The sequence below is a fragment of the Homo sapiens genome, chromosome 7 (assembly GCF_000001405.40).
Source record: "Homo sapiens chromosome 7, GRCh38.p14 Primary Assembly".
Lineage (NCBI taxonomy): Eukaryota > Metazoa > Chordata > Mammalia > Primates > Hominidae > Homo > Homo sapiens.
In genome coordinates, this window is record NC_000007.14 from 56,857,493 (window position 1) to 56,873,940 (window position 16,448).

Sequence of the window (16,448 nt, forward strand, 5' to 3'; positions counted from 1 at the left end):
AGGCTAAAGATGAGCAAAGATGAGAGTGAAAGAGTGATGATGGGGGTAGGGAGAGGGTTTCCTCAAGGACCAGTAAAGTCCCGGAAGGAAACTGACATTCCGTGTGGCTGGAGGGTAGGTGAATTCAACTGTCATTGCAATTCAGCAACCCGCACATTTAAGTTTGTGTTTGATTTTCAATATCAGCCCTGTGGATACAAAAAATAAGGAATTGTGTTTGGGCTATCATGGAAGCTCTCTGGATCTTAGACCGCAACTTATGCTGAGAGGTAAAGACTTGAACTTTTTGTTTTTCTCTCTGTAAGTGCTCAAGTGCAGCGGTCCCCAATTTTTTTGGCACCAGGGACTGGTTTTGTGGAAGACAATTTTTCCACAGACTGGGGGCAGCAGGTCAGTTTTGGAATATTTCAAGTAAATTACATTTATTGTGTACGTTATTTCTATTATTATTATATTGTAGTATGTAATGAAATAATTATGTAACTCACCATAATGTAGAATCAGTGGGAGTCCTGAGCTTGTTTTTCTGCAACTAGATGGTCCCATCTGGGGGTGATGTGAGACAGTCATAGATTATCAGGCATTAGATTCTCATAAGAACGGAGCAAGGTAGATCCCTCACATGCACAGTTCACAATAGGATTCGTGCTCCTATGAGAATCTAAAGCTGCCACTGATCTGACAGGAGCCCGAGATCAGGCAGTAATGTGGGGAGTGGCTGTAAATACAGATGAAGCTTCACTCACACACCCGCTGCTCACCTCCTGCCGTGTGGCCCAATACAGGCCTGTGACCCAGGGATTAGGGGCCCCTGCTCAAGTGCATCCAAAAGGACCCTTCCCACACCAATCTTCATAGTGGTCAAGTGCAGCAACTACTTAGCTCCCAAGGTATGTGCCTCAGCTGGCAATTCATCACAATCAACAGTAAGTGGTAGCTTGAGTCATTGTGAGGTCACTTCCTGGAAATGACCAGCATCCCATATCCCATTGGCAAGGAGCTCAGCGCTGCCCCTTGGATAACCAAACCTATGCCCAAATCCCATCTGTGTGGGTCCATCTCCTGGTACCCTTCCTAGCATCAATTCTTTATTTGTAGGAGTCCAATCAGGAGACACAAACCACTCGAAAATTTAAAGTGGTAAAATTCAAAACAAAAAAGTATTAATTATAACAAGGCAACAGCATAATGAGAGATTGGCTACCAAAAAGCAAAGAGAAGGCTAGAGAACATAGGAGGCCAGGCATTGTACCCCCTGCTTATAATTCCAGCAATTTCAGAAGCCAAGGCAGGAGGATTGCTTGAGGCCAGGAGTTTGAGACCAGCCTGGGAAGCACAGTGAGGCCCTGTCATTAAAAAAAACAAAACAAAAACAAAAACAAAAACCTCCATCTCAAAAACAAATAAAAATAAATAAACAAATAAAATAAAAAATAAAAAATTTAGCTTTGCATGCTGTTGTACGTCTATAGTCCCAGCTCCTTGGGAAGCTGAGGTGGGAGTATTACTTGATCCCAGGAATATGACGCTACAGCAAGCCATGATCACACCACTGCACTGCAGCCTGAGTAACAGAGCAAGACCCTGTCTCTACAAAGGAAAGAAAAGAAATGCAAGTTTTTATCACTTTGTGAGAGTAATAAAGTTTGAGGAGAAACAGAGAAGAACAAAAGAGCACTGAATGGTGAGGGTGGGTGTCTGGTTAGGCTCAGTTACTAGCTAAGTGGCTTCTGAAAAATTCTTTAATAAAATCATATCTCTGGGGGTCAGTCATGCAGTCAAATGATGAATGCTGAATCCATTACAAATGCCCATCGTCTTTCTTTACATGCCTTCTAGTAAAAAATTCCTAAGTGCCTAAATAGCAAGTGGTCTGAAATGATAGCAGTTGTTTATTAAAGAAATATCTTGGCCAGGTGTGGTGGCTCATGCCTGTAATCCCAGCACTTTGGGAGACTGAGGTGGGCAGACCACCTGAGGTCAGGAGTTGGAGAACAGCCTGGCCAACATGGTGAAACCCCCATCTCTACTCAAAATACAAAAACTTAGCTGGGTATGGTGGTGGGCACCTTAATCCCAGCTACTCGAGAGGCTGAGGCAGGAGAATCACTTGAACCTGGGAGGCAGAGGCTGCAGTGAGCCGAGATCACACCACTGCACTCCAGCCTGAGTAACAAGAGCAAAACTCCATCTCAGAAATAAAAAAAAAAAAAATCTCGATTTTTAAAAACTATGAGTCAAATATTATTTTCCTCCTCCCATTTTACAGGGTGCAACCTAAATAACAGAGAATTTAAGTAATTTTCCTAAGTGGCAGAGCACAGATTTAAATCCTATCACTTTGGCCTCAGAATTTGTGCTTTATATTATTTTACTATTTTAAAATTCATCTCTTTTAAAACCAAGAGACTTATGCAAAATTGTGCTAGGATTCAAAAAACGCCTCTTGCTTTTCCTGATCATGGTTGCAGGCAGGGCTCATGCTGCATTTTCTTTACTTATTTATGTCCTGCTTGGATGGAGACATGATGACAGGAGCTCCCTCCATCACCGTGCACCAGAAAGAAAAGTGAAGAGAAGCACAGGGAAGCCAGTCTTACCATGTTTGAGCAACTGAACCAATGTCAGCCTGAGCCTACCAGCACAATTACTCTTATGTGAGAAAAACAGGCATCTCCCTATTTGGAAAATCACAGCTGACTGCAGTAGTAAACAATCCACAAGTTATTCCTGGTAACACTATTCCTACAGCCCTAATCTGTCTCAAAAAAAAAAAAATCCTAATGCAGTTATTTCCTTTTGCATTCATGAGGAGATGGAAGAAATACCCATATTTGATGGTTGGCTGGGAACTGTCTTTGGCACTGTATGAAGTATTTTAATATTGTAAACATGAAAAGATGAGAATCCTGGAGACCCCGTGGGCATGGAGAAAAGGAAGTACATTAGAGGGTGTTGTAGGAAATATTTTCATTCCAGGCACTGCTGTTTAAACTACCCCTAAACTTTCTTTCCTTAAAAGTACAGAAAAAACAAAGAGGACAAAAGATCAAGAAACATTCCACGTGCCCCTCTCCATTCTTATTTGTTGTAATAAAGGAAAAGCATTTTGGAGATTTTCCTGAATGCAGTTTATGATGTGATCAAAGTTATTTATTTTCTGCTAATGATTTTCAAAATTTGAATTAAAAACTTTCAGAAATTTAGCTTTATCAAAGGCAGCTGTTCACATGTAAAACTAGTTTGGTTAACTTCATCTGCATAAACACATAGCTAGTGAATTAGCGTAACTATTAAACTGAAGAATCAACAGAAACATGCCAATGACTGGCCCTTACCTTCCACAGTGACCTCAATTTCAGGAAGATTTTCATTACTCTCAGGCCTTCATGGTCTTTTTGGGGACTGAAAGTTGTAAAATAAGCACAGAATTACTTTAGTATGTTGTAGGAAAAAAATACAAAAGGAGATGTTTTATAAGAGTAGAGTATTAAAATTCATACAGTTTGACTCTTTTCGAAGAAACCTGCAGAATTAAACTTGTAGTGTAGTCCTCTACAGGCGGCTCAAAAAAGCCATGGAAACATGCATAAAGTAGGATTGCAAATGTGACATTTCCAGTGAAATTTAAAAAAAAAAAAAAAAAAAAGAAAAAGAGGTCCATTAAATAACATAACTTAAAAAGCTAAGAAACTAACTGCAAGTCCCACAAAGATATTGGCCAATGACTCTCTATGATTTTAAGAAATGCTGATAAAGAATGTCTTAATGCAGTGAAATATAACAGGAAGTACATGTAATCTCTTACCTTTAGTGTGGCAAGTAGGAAATAATTAGTTCAAGTCAAGAAAGAATACCAAGAAATGTTATAGTAGCCAGTACAATGGTGGTCTAACAGCTAGTAAAACAGTCCTGATATGATGAGAGTTTTTTCAAAAGGAGTTCGCGGAGTCACCCTGTAATGTAACAATAATTCCTATCATTGTGTACAAAAACCCTGACATTTCCTTCCCATGACTGGCAAGTAATTATATGAAGAATAAATTACTTCTTTCATGAAAAAGAAAATCAACACTAGTGTATTTTCTTCAGCCACTAAAATTCTGCAGGAACACAGATATAGTAGGAAACTCAATCATCACATCAGGCCGGGTATGGTGGCTCATGCCTGTCATTCCAGCACATTGAAAGGCCAAGGCGGGTGGGTCACCTGAGTTCAGGAGTTCAAGACCAGCCTGACCAACTTGGTGAAACCCCATCTCTGCTAAAAACACAAAAATTAGCCAGGTATGGTGGCGCATTTCTGTAATCCCAGCTACTCAGGAGGCTGAGGCAGGAGACTCACCTGAACCCAGGAGGTGGAGGTTGCAGTGAGTGGAGATCACACCACTGGACTCTAGCCTGGGCAGCGAGAGTAAAACTCTGCCTCAAAAAAAAAGAAAAGAAAAGAAACTCAATCATCAATATTTAGTCACTCTTAAGACTGACCCAGGAATAACAGAGCAGATAAAATCCAGCAAATTAGACTTCATTCAAGTACTTAGGTGTACTGTGAGCCACCATGGTGCCTCTAAACACCATGGAGGCAGTGGTCACTATTCTTGCACTGATGAAGATGGCTGTGTACAGGATTGGGGACTTCAGGGGCAATGGAAAGTGCCAGGACTGCAGCTCAGAGCCAGGCTTTTCCATGAAGGACTTATGGCCACACTTGTCACCTCTAGCTAGAAAAACATTTTAGTAGAAATGTCATTTTATTGTTTTAATTCCAGAAATGACTTCAGTGGCAAATAGAACTTACTTTTTTACTGTTGTTGTTGTTGTTGTTGCGGAGTTTCACTCTGTTGCCCAGGCTGGAGTGCAGTGCTGTGATCTCAGTTCATAGCAGCCTCTGCCTCCCAGCTTCAAGTGATTCTCCTGCTTCAGCCTCCCGAGTAGCTGGGATTACAGGTGCCAGCCACCATGCCTGGCTAATTTTTTGTATTTTTAGTAGAGATGGGGTTTCACCATGTTGGCCAGGCTGGTCTCGAACTCCTTACCTCAGGTGATCCACCCACCTCAGCCTCCCAAAGTGCTGGGATTATAGGCGTGAGCCACTGCACCTGGCCTGCAAATACTATTTGGAAGCAGCCCTTTGCTACTAACTGCTCAAGACCGTAATAACCCTCCTCCTTTGGTTGCTGCAAACTGGCACATTTCAGGCTAAACTTTCATCTACACGGAAACAACAAGATCTTCTTTACTACCCCTTCAACCTTGTGAGCATGCTATTAAAAAAAATAAAAATAAAAAACTTTGCACAAAGAATTAATGGAATGGGAAATTTAAAAAGTAAGCAGAGGCCTGTTTAGATTACAAGAGGCATAACAACCAAAGTTAGCACATGAAGATTGTTTGGATCCAGATTTAAAGCAAAATTTTTCAGATAATGAGAAAATGAGATACTGTTCAGGTAAGAGTGAGGAAACTTGGCTAGGTGCAGTGGCTCACACCTGTAATCCCAGCACTCTGGGAGGCCGAGGTGGGAGGATCACCTGAGGTCAGGAGTTCAAGACCAGCCTGGCCAATATGGCGAAACCCCGTCTCTACTAAAAATACAAAAATTAACCGGGTGTGGTGGCATGCGCCTGTAATCCCAGCTCCTCAGGAGGCTGAGGCAGGAGAATTGTTGGAGCACAGGGGGCAGAGGCTGCAGTGAGCCGAGATTAGAACATTGCACTGCAGCCTGGGCGACAGTGCAAGACTCTGTCTCAAAAAAAAAAAAAAAAAAAAAAAAAAAAGAAAGAAAAGAGTGAGGAGACTCAGCTAAGGGCTGCATATGAGCTGATACCAAAAAAATCATTGTTCATTTTGTCAGATGTGATGAGATAGTGGCTGTGTAGGAATACATAAATGCTGTTCGGGGATGCACACTGAACAGATAAAATGATGTGATGACTGATTTGCTTTACAATATTCCTGCAAAGGGAGGTAAAAGAACAGAAGAACAAAATGTGGGACAATCTTAAAGATCACAGAAATTGAGGAATGGGTATTTTAGCGGTCATTGTACTATTTTCTCTACTTCTGAATAGGTATAAAAATTGTAATTTAAAAATGTAAAATAAAACAGCCAGGCGCAGTGACTCATACCTGTAATCCCAGCACTTTGGGAGGCCGAGACAGGTGGATCACATGAGTCAGGAGTTCGAGACCAGCCTGGTCAACATGGTGAAAGCCTGTCTCTACCAAAAATACAAAAAACAAAAAAAAGTCAGCCAGGTATGGTGGCAGGTACCTGTAGTCCCAGCTACTCAGGAGGCTGAGGCAAGAGAATCACTTGAATCCAGGAAGCAGAGGCTGAAGTGAGCTGAGACTTCGCCACTGCACTGCAACCTGGGTGACAGAGTGAGAATCCACCTCAAAAAAAAAAAAAAAAGAAAAGAAAAAAGTATAAATAAATTGATTAATCCCTGCTCTGAAGCCACATCCAAACAGAACTCTAAAAAAAGATTCAAGCAATTTACTGTGCTGTTTATATACACATCTCCCTCACACCTCTGTAACATTTAAATATTTTACAACATGATGGGTGGGAGTGGCTCAAAGCTGGACATGCTGGCATGTGCCTGTAGCCCCAGCTACTTAGGAGACTGAGGCAGGAGGATAACTTGAGCACAGGAGTTCTAGTCCAGCCCAGACAACATAACAAGACCCTGGTTTTTTTTGTTTTTTTTTTGAGATGGAGTTTGACTCTTGTTACCCAGGCTGGAGTGCAATGGTGGGATCTCAGCTCACTGCAACCTCTGTCTCCCGGGTTCAAGTTATTCTCCTGCCTCAGCCTCCCAAGTAGCTGAGATTACAGTCACACACCACCACACCCAGCTAATTTTGTATTTTTAGTAGAGATGGGGTTTCTCCATGCTGGTCAGGCTGGTCTTGAACTCCCGACCTCAGGTGATCTGCCTTCCAAAATGCTGGGATTACAGACATGGGCCACCACACCCTGCCAATCCTGTTTCTTTAAAAAGAAAGGTTGGGGAGCTGTCAGGGAGCTCACTGATGAATTATTTTGGCAATAACAACAATTGCTATGAAAACGCAACTATAAAATCCAAAATTGTATCTATTCCCAGATCTTTCTCCTTACTTCCAAACTCATTTATCCAACTGTCTCCTCCACCTCCACACCTCAACTTAAATGTCAACTCAAAATAAATTAACAATTAATTTCTGTGTTCTTAGACTGGCTTTCCTCTAACATCTCAAGACCTGTCTTAAATTCTTAATGTTATTAGCACCAAATCTGAAGGACTCTAGTATAGAGACTCTTTGATATAAGAAACATGTGTTTTTGAGAAACCACACAAAATGAAATAATTATTATAGCTGTAAAAACAAATATGCCCATAAACAAAAAACAGTAAAGGATTAGAGGCTTTTAGTCACACTAGAGAGTGATGTTAAATTAAATTATTCTGTTAATTCAAGAAAATATATAAACCTAATTCTAACAAATTTTCTATAAAATAAAAAAGAACCAATTGTTGAAGGTGAGAGTGAAAAAAGTGGAAGTTTTAGAAAGAGGTGAGGCCAACTGCAGAATGTGCTCATCACATATCATCAAGGCTGCCCCAATCACACCCTCTGCCTCCTCATCCCCTTATTCTACTTAATTCTACCCCAGACCTTAACACCTTACACTGTAAATATCTCCTACTTACTACACATTTCCCCACCAGATTGAATGCTCCAGACTGTATGGGGCAGTTCCCCTGCACCTGACTCACAGGTGCCAAATGACTGCAGGATTATGAGGCTGAAAGTAGTAAACATTTCCTCAATACTTGCAGTGGTTCACAGCCATGAAAAATCCAAGATTTCCTCTCTCTCTTTCAGGAACCTTAAAGAAAGCAGCAATACTGTCAGAAGCATTTGAAAGAGAGCAACTCGATCTTAAGTAGGAGCTGGGTAAAATGAGGCTAAGACTTACTGAGCTGCATTCCCAGATGGTTAAGGCTAAGTCACAGGGTGAGGGAGGTCAGCACAATATACAGGTCATAAGGACCTTGCTGATAAAATGGGCTGCAGTAAAAAAGCCAGCCAAAACCAAGATAATGACGAGAGTGACCTCTGCTCATCCTCACTGCAATACACCCATCAACTCCATGGCAGTTTACAAATGCCATGGCAATGTCAGAAAGTTGTTCTGTATGGTCTAAAAGGTGAACCATAAAATTAATCCACTCCTGGCCATGTGCAGTGGCTCTCACCTATAATCTCAGCACTCTGGGAGGCCAAGGTGGGTGGATCACCTGAGGTCAGGAGTTTAAGACTAGCCCGGCCAACAAGGTGAAACCCCATCTCTACAAGAAATACAAAAAAAATTAGTTGGGTGTGGTGGTACATGCCTGTGATCCCAGCTATTCAGGAGGCTGAGGAAGGAGAATCGCTTGAACCCAGGAGGCAGAGGTTGCAGTGAGCCAAGATCACACCACTGCACTCCAGCCTGGACTCCATCTCAAAAAAAAAAAAAAAAACAGCAACACAGTATGAGAGGTTGGGTATTGTGGTTCATGCCTACAATCCAAGCATGTTGGGAGGCTGAGGTGGGTGGATCACCTGAGGTCAGGAGTTCGAGACCAGCCTGACCAACATGGTGAAACCCCATCTCTACTAAAAATACAAAAATTAGCTGGACATAGTGGCAGGTGCCAGTAATCCCACCGACTTGGGAGGCTGAAGCAGGACAATCGCTTGAACCTGGGAGGTGGAGGTTTCAGTGATCTGAGACCGCACCACTGCACTCCAGCCTGCATAACATGAGCGAAACTCTGTCTCAAAAACAGAACAGTAAGAGAAAACTGAAGCTGAGTCCCACTCATTGTATTTACTTTCCTAAATAAAACAACATTATAAAAAACACTACTCAGTAATATAATTTAGTTGAAGGGGAAAAAACAGACTTATCAAATTTTTTTGCAAAAAAGCTGATCCATCATTTTCCACAATTCAGTGATTCTGGCATACCATACTTCCTTCCCCATCAAAATCACAGGAATACAAGTTTTCTCAATCTAATGAATTTAATAACTTGGGTTATTAAATATTATTATAAAATAGGCAGTATTTTTCTTTCCTGTGACTATTTTTTTTTTTTTGAGATGGAGTCTCGCTCTGTAGCACACACTGGAGTGCAGTGGCATGATCTCGGCTCACTGCAAGCTCCGCCTCCCAGGTTCATGCCATTCTCCAGCCTCAGCCTCCTGAGTAGCTGGGACTACAGGCACCCGCTACCACGCCCGGCTAATTTTTTGTATTTTTAGTAGAGACAGTGTTTCACCGTGTTAGCCAGGATGGTCTTGATCTCCTGACCTCGTGCTCCACCCGCCTCATCGTCCCAAAGTGCTGGGATTACAAGCATGAGCCACCGCACCTGGCACCTGTAACTAATATTATTTCTAAGATCCAGAATGTATTTATTACTGAAACAATGCTGACATACACTGCACAAAAAAAAGGAAGAACCAGACATTCATTAAAGCTAGGAAAAAGCAGAACTCAGTGTGCTCAAGAACCACTAGCAGGCAGGACAGGTTGTCTCATGCCTGTAATGCCAGTACTTTGGGAGGCTGAGGTGGGCAGATCACCTGAGGTCAGGAGTTCCAGACCAGCCTGGCCAACATGGTGAAACCCAAACTCTACTGCAAATAAAAAATTAGGCTGGCGTGGTGGCAGGTGCCTGTAATCCCAGCTACTTGGGAGGCTGAGGCAGACAGAATTGCTGGAACCCAGGAGGTAGAGCTTGCATGAGCTGAGATCACACCACTGCACTCCAGTATGGGCAACAGAGGAAAACTCCACCTCAAAAAAAAAAAAAAAAAAAAAAAAGAGAACAGCAAACAGCTAGCAGGTGCCATTTGCTATGGGGAGACTAGGGATATGATCTTGCTGGCAATCCTTCCATTTTAGTAAATCTAAACAGTGTGATTCCATTCTTTTTTGTCTGCACTCCACTCTAGAGCCAAAACCAGAAAATCAATTATATTTCTACTTCTTTCAAAACACATCTAACAATTAAGAGATGATATGCATGGCTCCATGCTCTAAAAGGAACTTTCTTATGTCCTGGGTATCGTGGACATTTGATGAATGCTTGTTCAGTTGGCTAGTGTAGACTTCAATAATAAACTGTTCAGTGCATAATGTCAGACAAATGTTGTATCTGAAAAGTAGGACAAATATTGTTCTTTTAGTTCTGTCTACCCATAAACGCAATACTTACATGTATTTATAATGGGTTAATAAAAAGAAAATGAGTTTATTTTTCTAGAGAGTATTAGAATTTTGACAACATGAATTCTCCTGTCCTGGAACATAATTAAAAGTAAGAGGAATATTATTTCATGTGAAAGGACCATTAAAAAAATCATTGTTAAGCATTAAATAATTATTTCACATAATCTTCTAATCTGACTTAAGACTGAAGACCTACCACCTGAAGCTGGTTTATCAAGTTGTAAGTCTTCACATGTTGAATTCGCAAGTTCATGTCTGAAAGGTGAGAATAAATACTTAATATTCACTAGGCAATATTCAGCAAAGTAATATTCACTGGTGCATATTTTACATTTCATAACCAAGGGTGGCTTTGAAAAAAAAAAAAGACAGGCTGGTCACGGTGGCTCATGCCTGTAATCCAACACTTTGGAAGGCTGAGGCAGACAGATCAGGAAGTCAGGAATTCAAGACCAGCCTGGCCAACAAGGTGAAACCCCGTCTCTACTAAGCATACAAAAATTATCCAGGCATTGTGGCAGGTGCCTGTCATCCCAGCTACTCAGGAGGCTGACCTAGGAGAATCACTTGAACCTGAGAGGCAGAGATTGCAGTGAGCCAGGACACACCATTGCACTCCAGCATGGGCGACAACAGTGAAACTCCAGCTGAGAAAAAAAAAAAAAGAAAGAAATATCCCATTACTCTAAGGCAATGTAGATACAGCCAGAATTTCAACAGAAGTCTGAACCACATTATAAAGCCAGAAAAACATACAGCTAATATTATTTAATACATATAGCACTAAATGGAAGAGGTAATATTTTCTTTTACTTTTTTTTTTTTTTTTTTTGAGACGGAGTCTCGCTCTATCACCCAGGATGGAGTGCAGTGGCAGGATCTCGGCTCACTGCAACCTCCGCCTCTCGGGTCCAAGCAATTCTCCTGTCTCAGCCTCCCGACTAGCTGGGACTATAGGCACCTGACACCATGCCTTCCTAATTTATGTATTTTTGTAGAGACGGGGTTTCATCGTATTGGTCAGGCTGGTCCTGAACTCCTGACCTCAGGAGCTCCGTCCACCTCAGCCTCCCAAAGTGCTGGGATTACAGGCATGAGCCACCATGCCTTGCGGAAAAGGTAATATTTTCCAAACATATACATTAGTGTAACCTTGTTAGACTTATAAATATGATTTTTTTTAGTAACAGAAGCAGAAGATTCTCCTGAACTGTATCATTTCAGCTAACATTTATTTACTTAAGATTAAAATAACAGAACAGCTATAGAAAGTCAAGAGGTAGCCAGGCACAGTGGCTCATGCCTGTAACCCAAATACTTTGAGAGACCAAGGCAGGTGAATCACCTTAGGTCAGGAGTTTGAGACCAGCCTGGCCAAAATGTTGAAACCCCATCTCTACTAAAAATACAAAAATTAGCCAGGCATGGTGGTAATCATCTGTAGTCCCAGCTACTAGGGAGGCTGTGACGGGAGGATCACTTGAACCTGAGTGGTGGAGGCTGCAGTGAGCTATGATCACACCACTGCACTCCAGCCTGGGTGACAGAGCAACACTCTGTTTCAAAGAAAAAAAAAGAAAAAGTCAAGAGCATGGAGAGTATTAAATTCAGACAAAACCAATGGTCTATCATCAGAACAGCTCCATTTTTTTGCTATCATTATGTGTTAAGGTCAATTTGCTAAACACGAATATTTGTACTAAAGTTTTAAGTATACCATATAACACATTATTGCTGACTTAGGTTTAATGTCCTTTGCCGTACAATATACCTGAATATCTTACTAATATATCACAACAAAAGCATCTTTCCCTAAGGCAATTACCATTAATACTGCTTTAAAGTTATAAAATGTGGGCTGAGGGGTGGCTCACACCTGTAATCCCAGCACTTTGGGAGTCCAAGGCAGGCAGATCACAACGTCAAGAGATTAAGACCATCCTGGCCAACATGGTGAAACCCCATCTCTACTAAAGTACAAAAATTACCTGGGTGTGGTGACGCACCCCTGTAGTCCCAGCTACTTGGGAGGCTGAGGCAGGAGAATTTCTTGAATCCAGGAGGCAGAGGTTGTGGTGAGCTGAGATTGCAACTCCAGCCTGAACAACAAGTGTGAAACTTTGTCTCAAAAAAAATTTATAAAATGTGAGAATTGCTTTTATAATTTTACAACACCTGAGCATTACTGTCTTTAAACTAAAAAATCTAATAAATCACCATCACAACAAAAGCCCCACAAGATAATTTGTTTCACCTTATAAAAAGCACTGACATTTAGTGTGTGGTAATTTGTTGCAGTAGCCACGGGAAACTAGTATTGTACTGAAGCCTCAACACCCACCTGAAGGGGCTGGGCATGGTGGCTCATGCCTGTAATCCCAGCACTTTGTGAGGCTCAGGTGGGTGGATCACTTGAGGTCAGAAATTCAAGACCAGCCTTCCAACATGGTGAAACCTTGTCTCTAAAAATTACAAAAATTAGCTGGGGGTGGTAACACATGCCTATAATCTCAGCTACATAGGAGGCTGAGACATGGGAACTGTTTGAACCCAGGGTGGGGCGGAGGTTGCAGTGAGCCAAGATTGTGCCACTGCACCCCAGCCTGGGTGATAGAGTGGGGCTCCATGTCGACAATAAGAAAACAAAACAAAACAAAACAACACAAAACCCCACCTGAAGGTTTCCAGTTCTTTCAATAGTCCCCCACCCAACCCCTTAGAAGCACACAGTCTTTTGCTGTGGGCCATGGAGAGGAAGAAGGAAGCACCTCCTCATGGCAGAGGCCTACCCAGGAGAAACTCAAGGGAAGGCACTGCCAGGCCGGTCCTTCTGCCAAGGCCATTTTCTTTTTTTTTTTTTTTTTCTGATGGAGGGACACAGTTTCACTCCGTCTCCCAGACTGCAATGCAGTGGCACAATCTCAGCTCACTTCGACCTCTGCCTCCCCAATTCAAGCAATTCTCCTGCCTCAGCCTCCCGAGTAGCTGGGATTACAGGAGCACAGCATGTCCAGCAGGTTTTTGTATTTGTAGCAGAGATGGGGTTTTGCCATGTTGCCCAGGCTGGACTCAACCTCCTCACCTCAAGTGATCCACCTATCTCAGCCTCCAAAACTGCTGAGGAGTGAGCCACCGCACCCAGCACTCACCAAGGCCTTTGATGGCAGGCTTTTTCCAGGTGACCACTCCTTGTCTGGTCTGGTTCTGCCCCACCCTCCCTCTCACCAAGTTGGAATCCGTCACTACTTTTCAGTAGAGGAGAGTGTGTACCCCAATCTCAGCTTGGTATGATTCAGATCTGCATTTAACTCATGAAATCTGGCTGATCCTCAAGCCCTGGAGAAAAAAAAGGGTCTCTCTGTGAGTATGATACAGGACAGGTCTGTCCCCAGGACCCTGGGAGAGGGAAGCCCAATGGCCCACCAGGTTGGCAGGGCTGGGGAAGGGAAAGTGTTATGGTAGCCCCAAGACGAAAAAGAGGCAGCAGAGGGAGCAGGACATCACTCCCATTGAACTCATGCCGCTGCCTAAGTGAGGTGAGGGAGGAGTGCACCCGAGTGACATGAGGGGGCAGAGAGGCACGGTTCCAGGGCGGCTTTCACCCTTACTTCCTGCCATGTTACTCTGATCCCCTGCAGGTGAGCCTGCCCACTTTTGGCTTAGGGCTGCTGCTGGGGCCTGTACTCAAACGCAGCCCCCCCATGGCCATGGCTCCATGAGTGGGGCAGAGCAGGGAGGAGTCCTAGACAGAGGAGAGGCTGGGGCAGGAGGGAGTGGGCCTCAAACTCCAGGAGGGGGCCCTTCTCATAGGTCCTCTTTTCCGGCCTCTTCTTCCTTACCCCTGGGCTGATCACCTGGGGAAGAACTGAGGCAAGCTTTCTCATCCTCAGGTCTGAGGGGTTCAATTACTGGGCCCAACTAGCTGGGATTACAGGCATGCACCACCACACCTGGCTAATTTTGCATTTTTAGTAGAGTCAGGGTTTCTCCATGTTGGTCAGGCTGGTCTCGAGCTCCTGACCTCAGCTGATCCACCCACCTCTGCCTTCCAAAGTGCTGGGATTACAGGTGCGAGCCACTGAGACTGGCCAAGCAATCCTTTTCTAAAAATGAGCTGGGCTCGGTGGCTCATGCCTATAATCCCAGCACTTTGGGAGGCCGAGGTGGGTGGATCACTTGAGGTCAGGAGTTTGAGACCAGCCTGGGCAACATGATGTAATCCCATCTCTACTAAAATAAATAAATAAATAAATAAATTAGCCAGGTGTGATGGTGGCCACCTGTAATCCCAGCATCTCAGGAGGCTGAGACAGGAGAATCACCTGAACCTGGGAGGCAGTGGTTGCAATGAGCCGAGATCATGCCACTGCACTCCAGCCTAAGTGACAACAGTGAGACTCCGTCACAAACAAAAACAAAAACAAAACCAGATTCCATCTCAAAATAAATAAATAAAACAAAAAATGTGGTATGGCAATGAAAATAATTACTGTGTTAAAGACAGTTTCGTAGAAAATAGAAGACCACTCAGATACAATAAGCTGTCTTTTTAGATGAGTATACTTGTTATTCTTATTTTACAGCTAAAGAAACTGGCTCAGAGAATGTTATTCAATTCGACCATGTTGCATTTCTGGACGGTGCAGCTGAGATCAGACTTTGTGTGTAACTCCACTAGTCTACCAGGGTGCCTCTCATAAAGGTAAGAAATGTAAATTTGGCCTAATCTACAAAGTTACCAGGGCAGCACTGGGTCAATTCTACATACAGTACTTCTATATTCATCAAGGGAAACCTTAAGGGAAGGTGAAAATGCTTCTAGAAGGCAACTGGACACCAGTGCCCTTGCTTGTTGCCTTTGGGCTCTTCCTCTAAGGCCAATAGTGACCTGAAATTACCAACTAACTGTTTCAATCAAGTGGACAAAATGGTACCAAGGTAATCAACATCAGACAAATTCATTTGAGGACCTATCTATGTGCTTTGAAAGACAAAACTTTTTGTAAAGGATACTGTATTTCAGAAAAACAAAATCATATTAACAACTAATAACACTGTAAAATGCTGATGTGTTGAATGCTACTTTAGAAAAACATGTTCAAATCTAGGAAAAAAAATTTGATAGAAAACTACATAATCAGCTGGGCGCCGTGGCTCACGCCTGTAATCCCAGCACTTTGGGAGGCTGAGGCGGGTGGATGATGAGGTCAGGAGTTCAAGACCAGCCTGACCAACACAGTGAAACCCCATCTCTACTAAAAATATAAAAAATTAGCCAGGCATGGTGGCGTGTGCCTGTAATTCCCGGCTACTCAGACAGGCAGGAGAATTGCTTGAACCCAGAAGGCAGAGGTTGCAGTGAGCAGGTGAGCCAAGATCGCACGACTGCATCCCATCCTATGTGACAGGACAAGACTCTGTCTCAAAAAAAAAAAAAAAAAGAAAAGAAAAGAAAACTACGTATCAATTATCTAGCTAGCTATCTATCTAGAGAAATGGTTTCATTCTATTGCTCAGGATGGAGAGCAGCAGGATGATTATAGCTCACTGCAGCCTTGAGCTCCTGGCCGCAAGTGATCCTCCTGCCTTAGCCTCCTAAGTAGCTGCGGCCACAGGTGAACAGTTACACACGGCTTTTTGTTTTGTTTTGTTTTGTTTTTTGTACAGAAAGGGTTTCACTACATTGCCTGGGCTGGTCTCAAACTTTAGAGTCTCGATGTGTCACCCAGGCTGGGGTGCTTGGTGTGATCTCGGCTCACGGCAACCTCCACTTCCCAGTTCAAGTGATTCTCCAGTATCAGCCTCCCGAGCACCTGGGACTACAGGCATGTGCCACCACACCCGGCTAATTTTTGTTATTTTTTGTAGAGACTGAGTTTCTCCATGTTGGCCAGGCTAGTCTCGAACTCCTGACCTCAGGTGATCCACCCACCTCGGCCTCCCACAGTGCTGAGATTACAGGCGTGAGCCACCATGCAGGGCCAAACACTTTCTTACTTTATTAAATAGCATAACCCAGGTAGGGCACGGTGGCTCATGCCTGTAATCCCTACAAGTCTGAAGGCCAAAGTGAGAATATCAGTGAACCCAGGAGTTTGAAACCGGCCTGGGCAACATAGCAAGACCCCCATCTCTACAAAAAATACAAAAATTAGGCTAGGCATGCACCA

General features: G+C 43.1%; 1 long non-coding RNA gene across 2 annotated transcripts; it reads right to left on the minus strand.

Moving 5' to 3' along the window:
- Positions 1-507: 507 nt before the first annotated feature.
- LOC105375295 (uncharacterized) lies at positions 508-4,829 on the minus strand. 2 transcript variants are annotated; one of them, XR_927297.1, is made up of 3 exons: positions 4,802-4,829; positions 3,339-3,405; positions 508-546 (listed from the first exon to the last, which is right to left on the minus strand). It is a non-coding gene; the product is annotated as an uncharacterized LOC105375295 (long non-coding RNA). The 2 variants fall into 2 exon arrangements; XR_927296.2 differs by lacking the exon at positions 4,802-4,829 and adding an exon at positions 3,809-3,936.
- Positions 4,830-16,448: the final 11,619 nt, after the last annotated feature.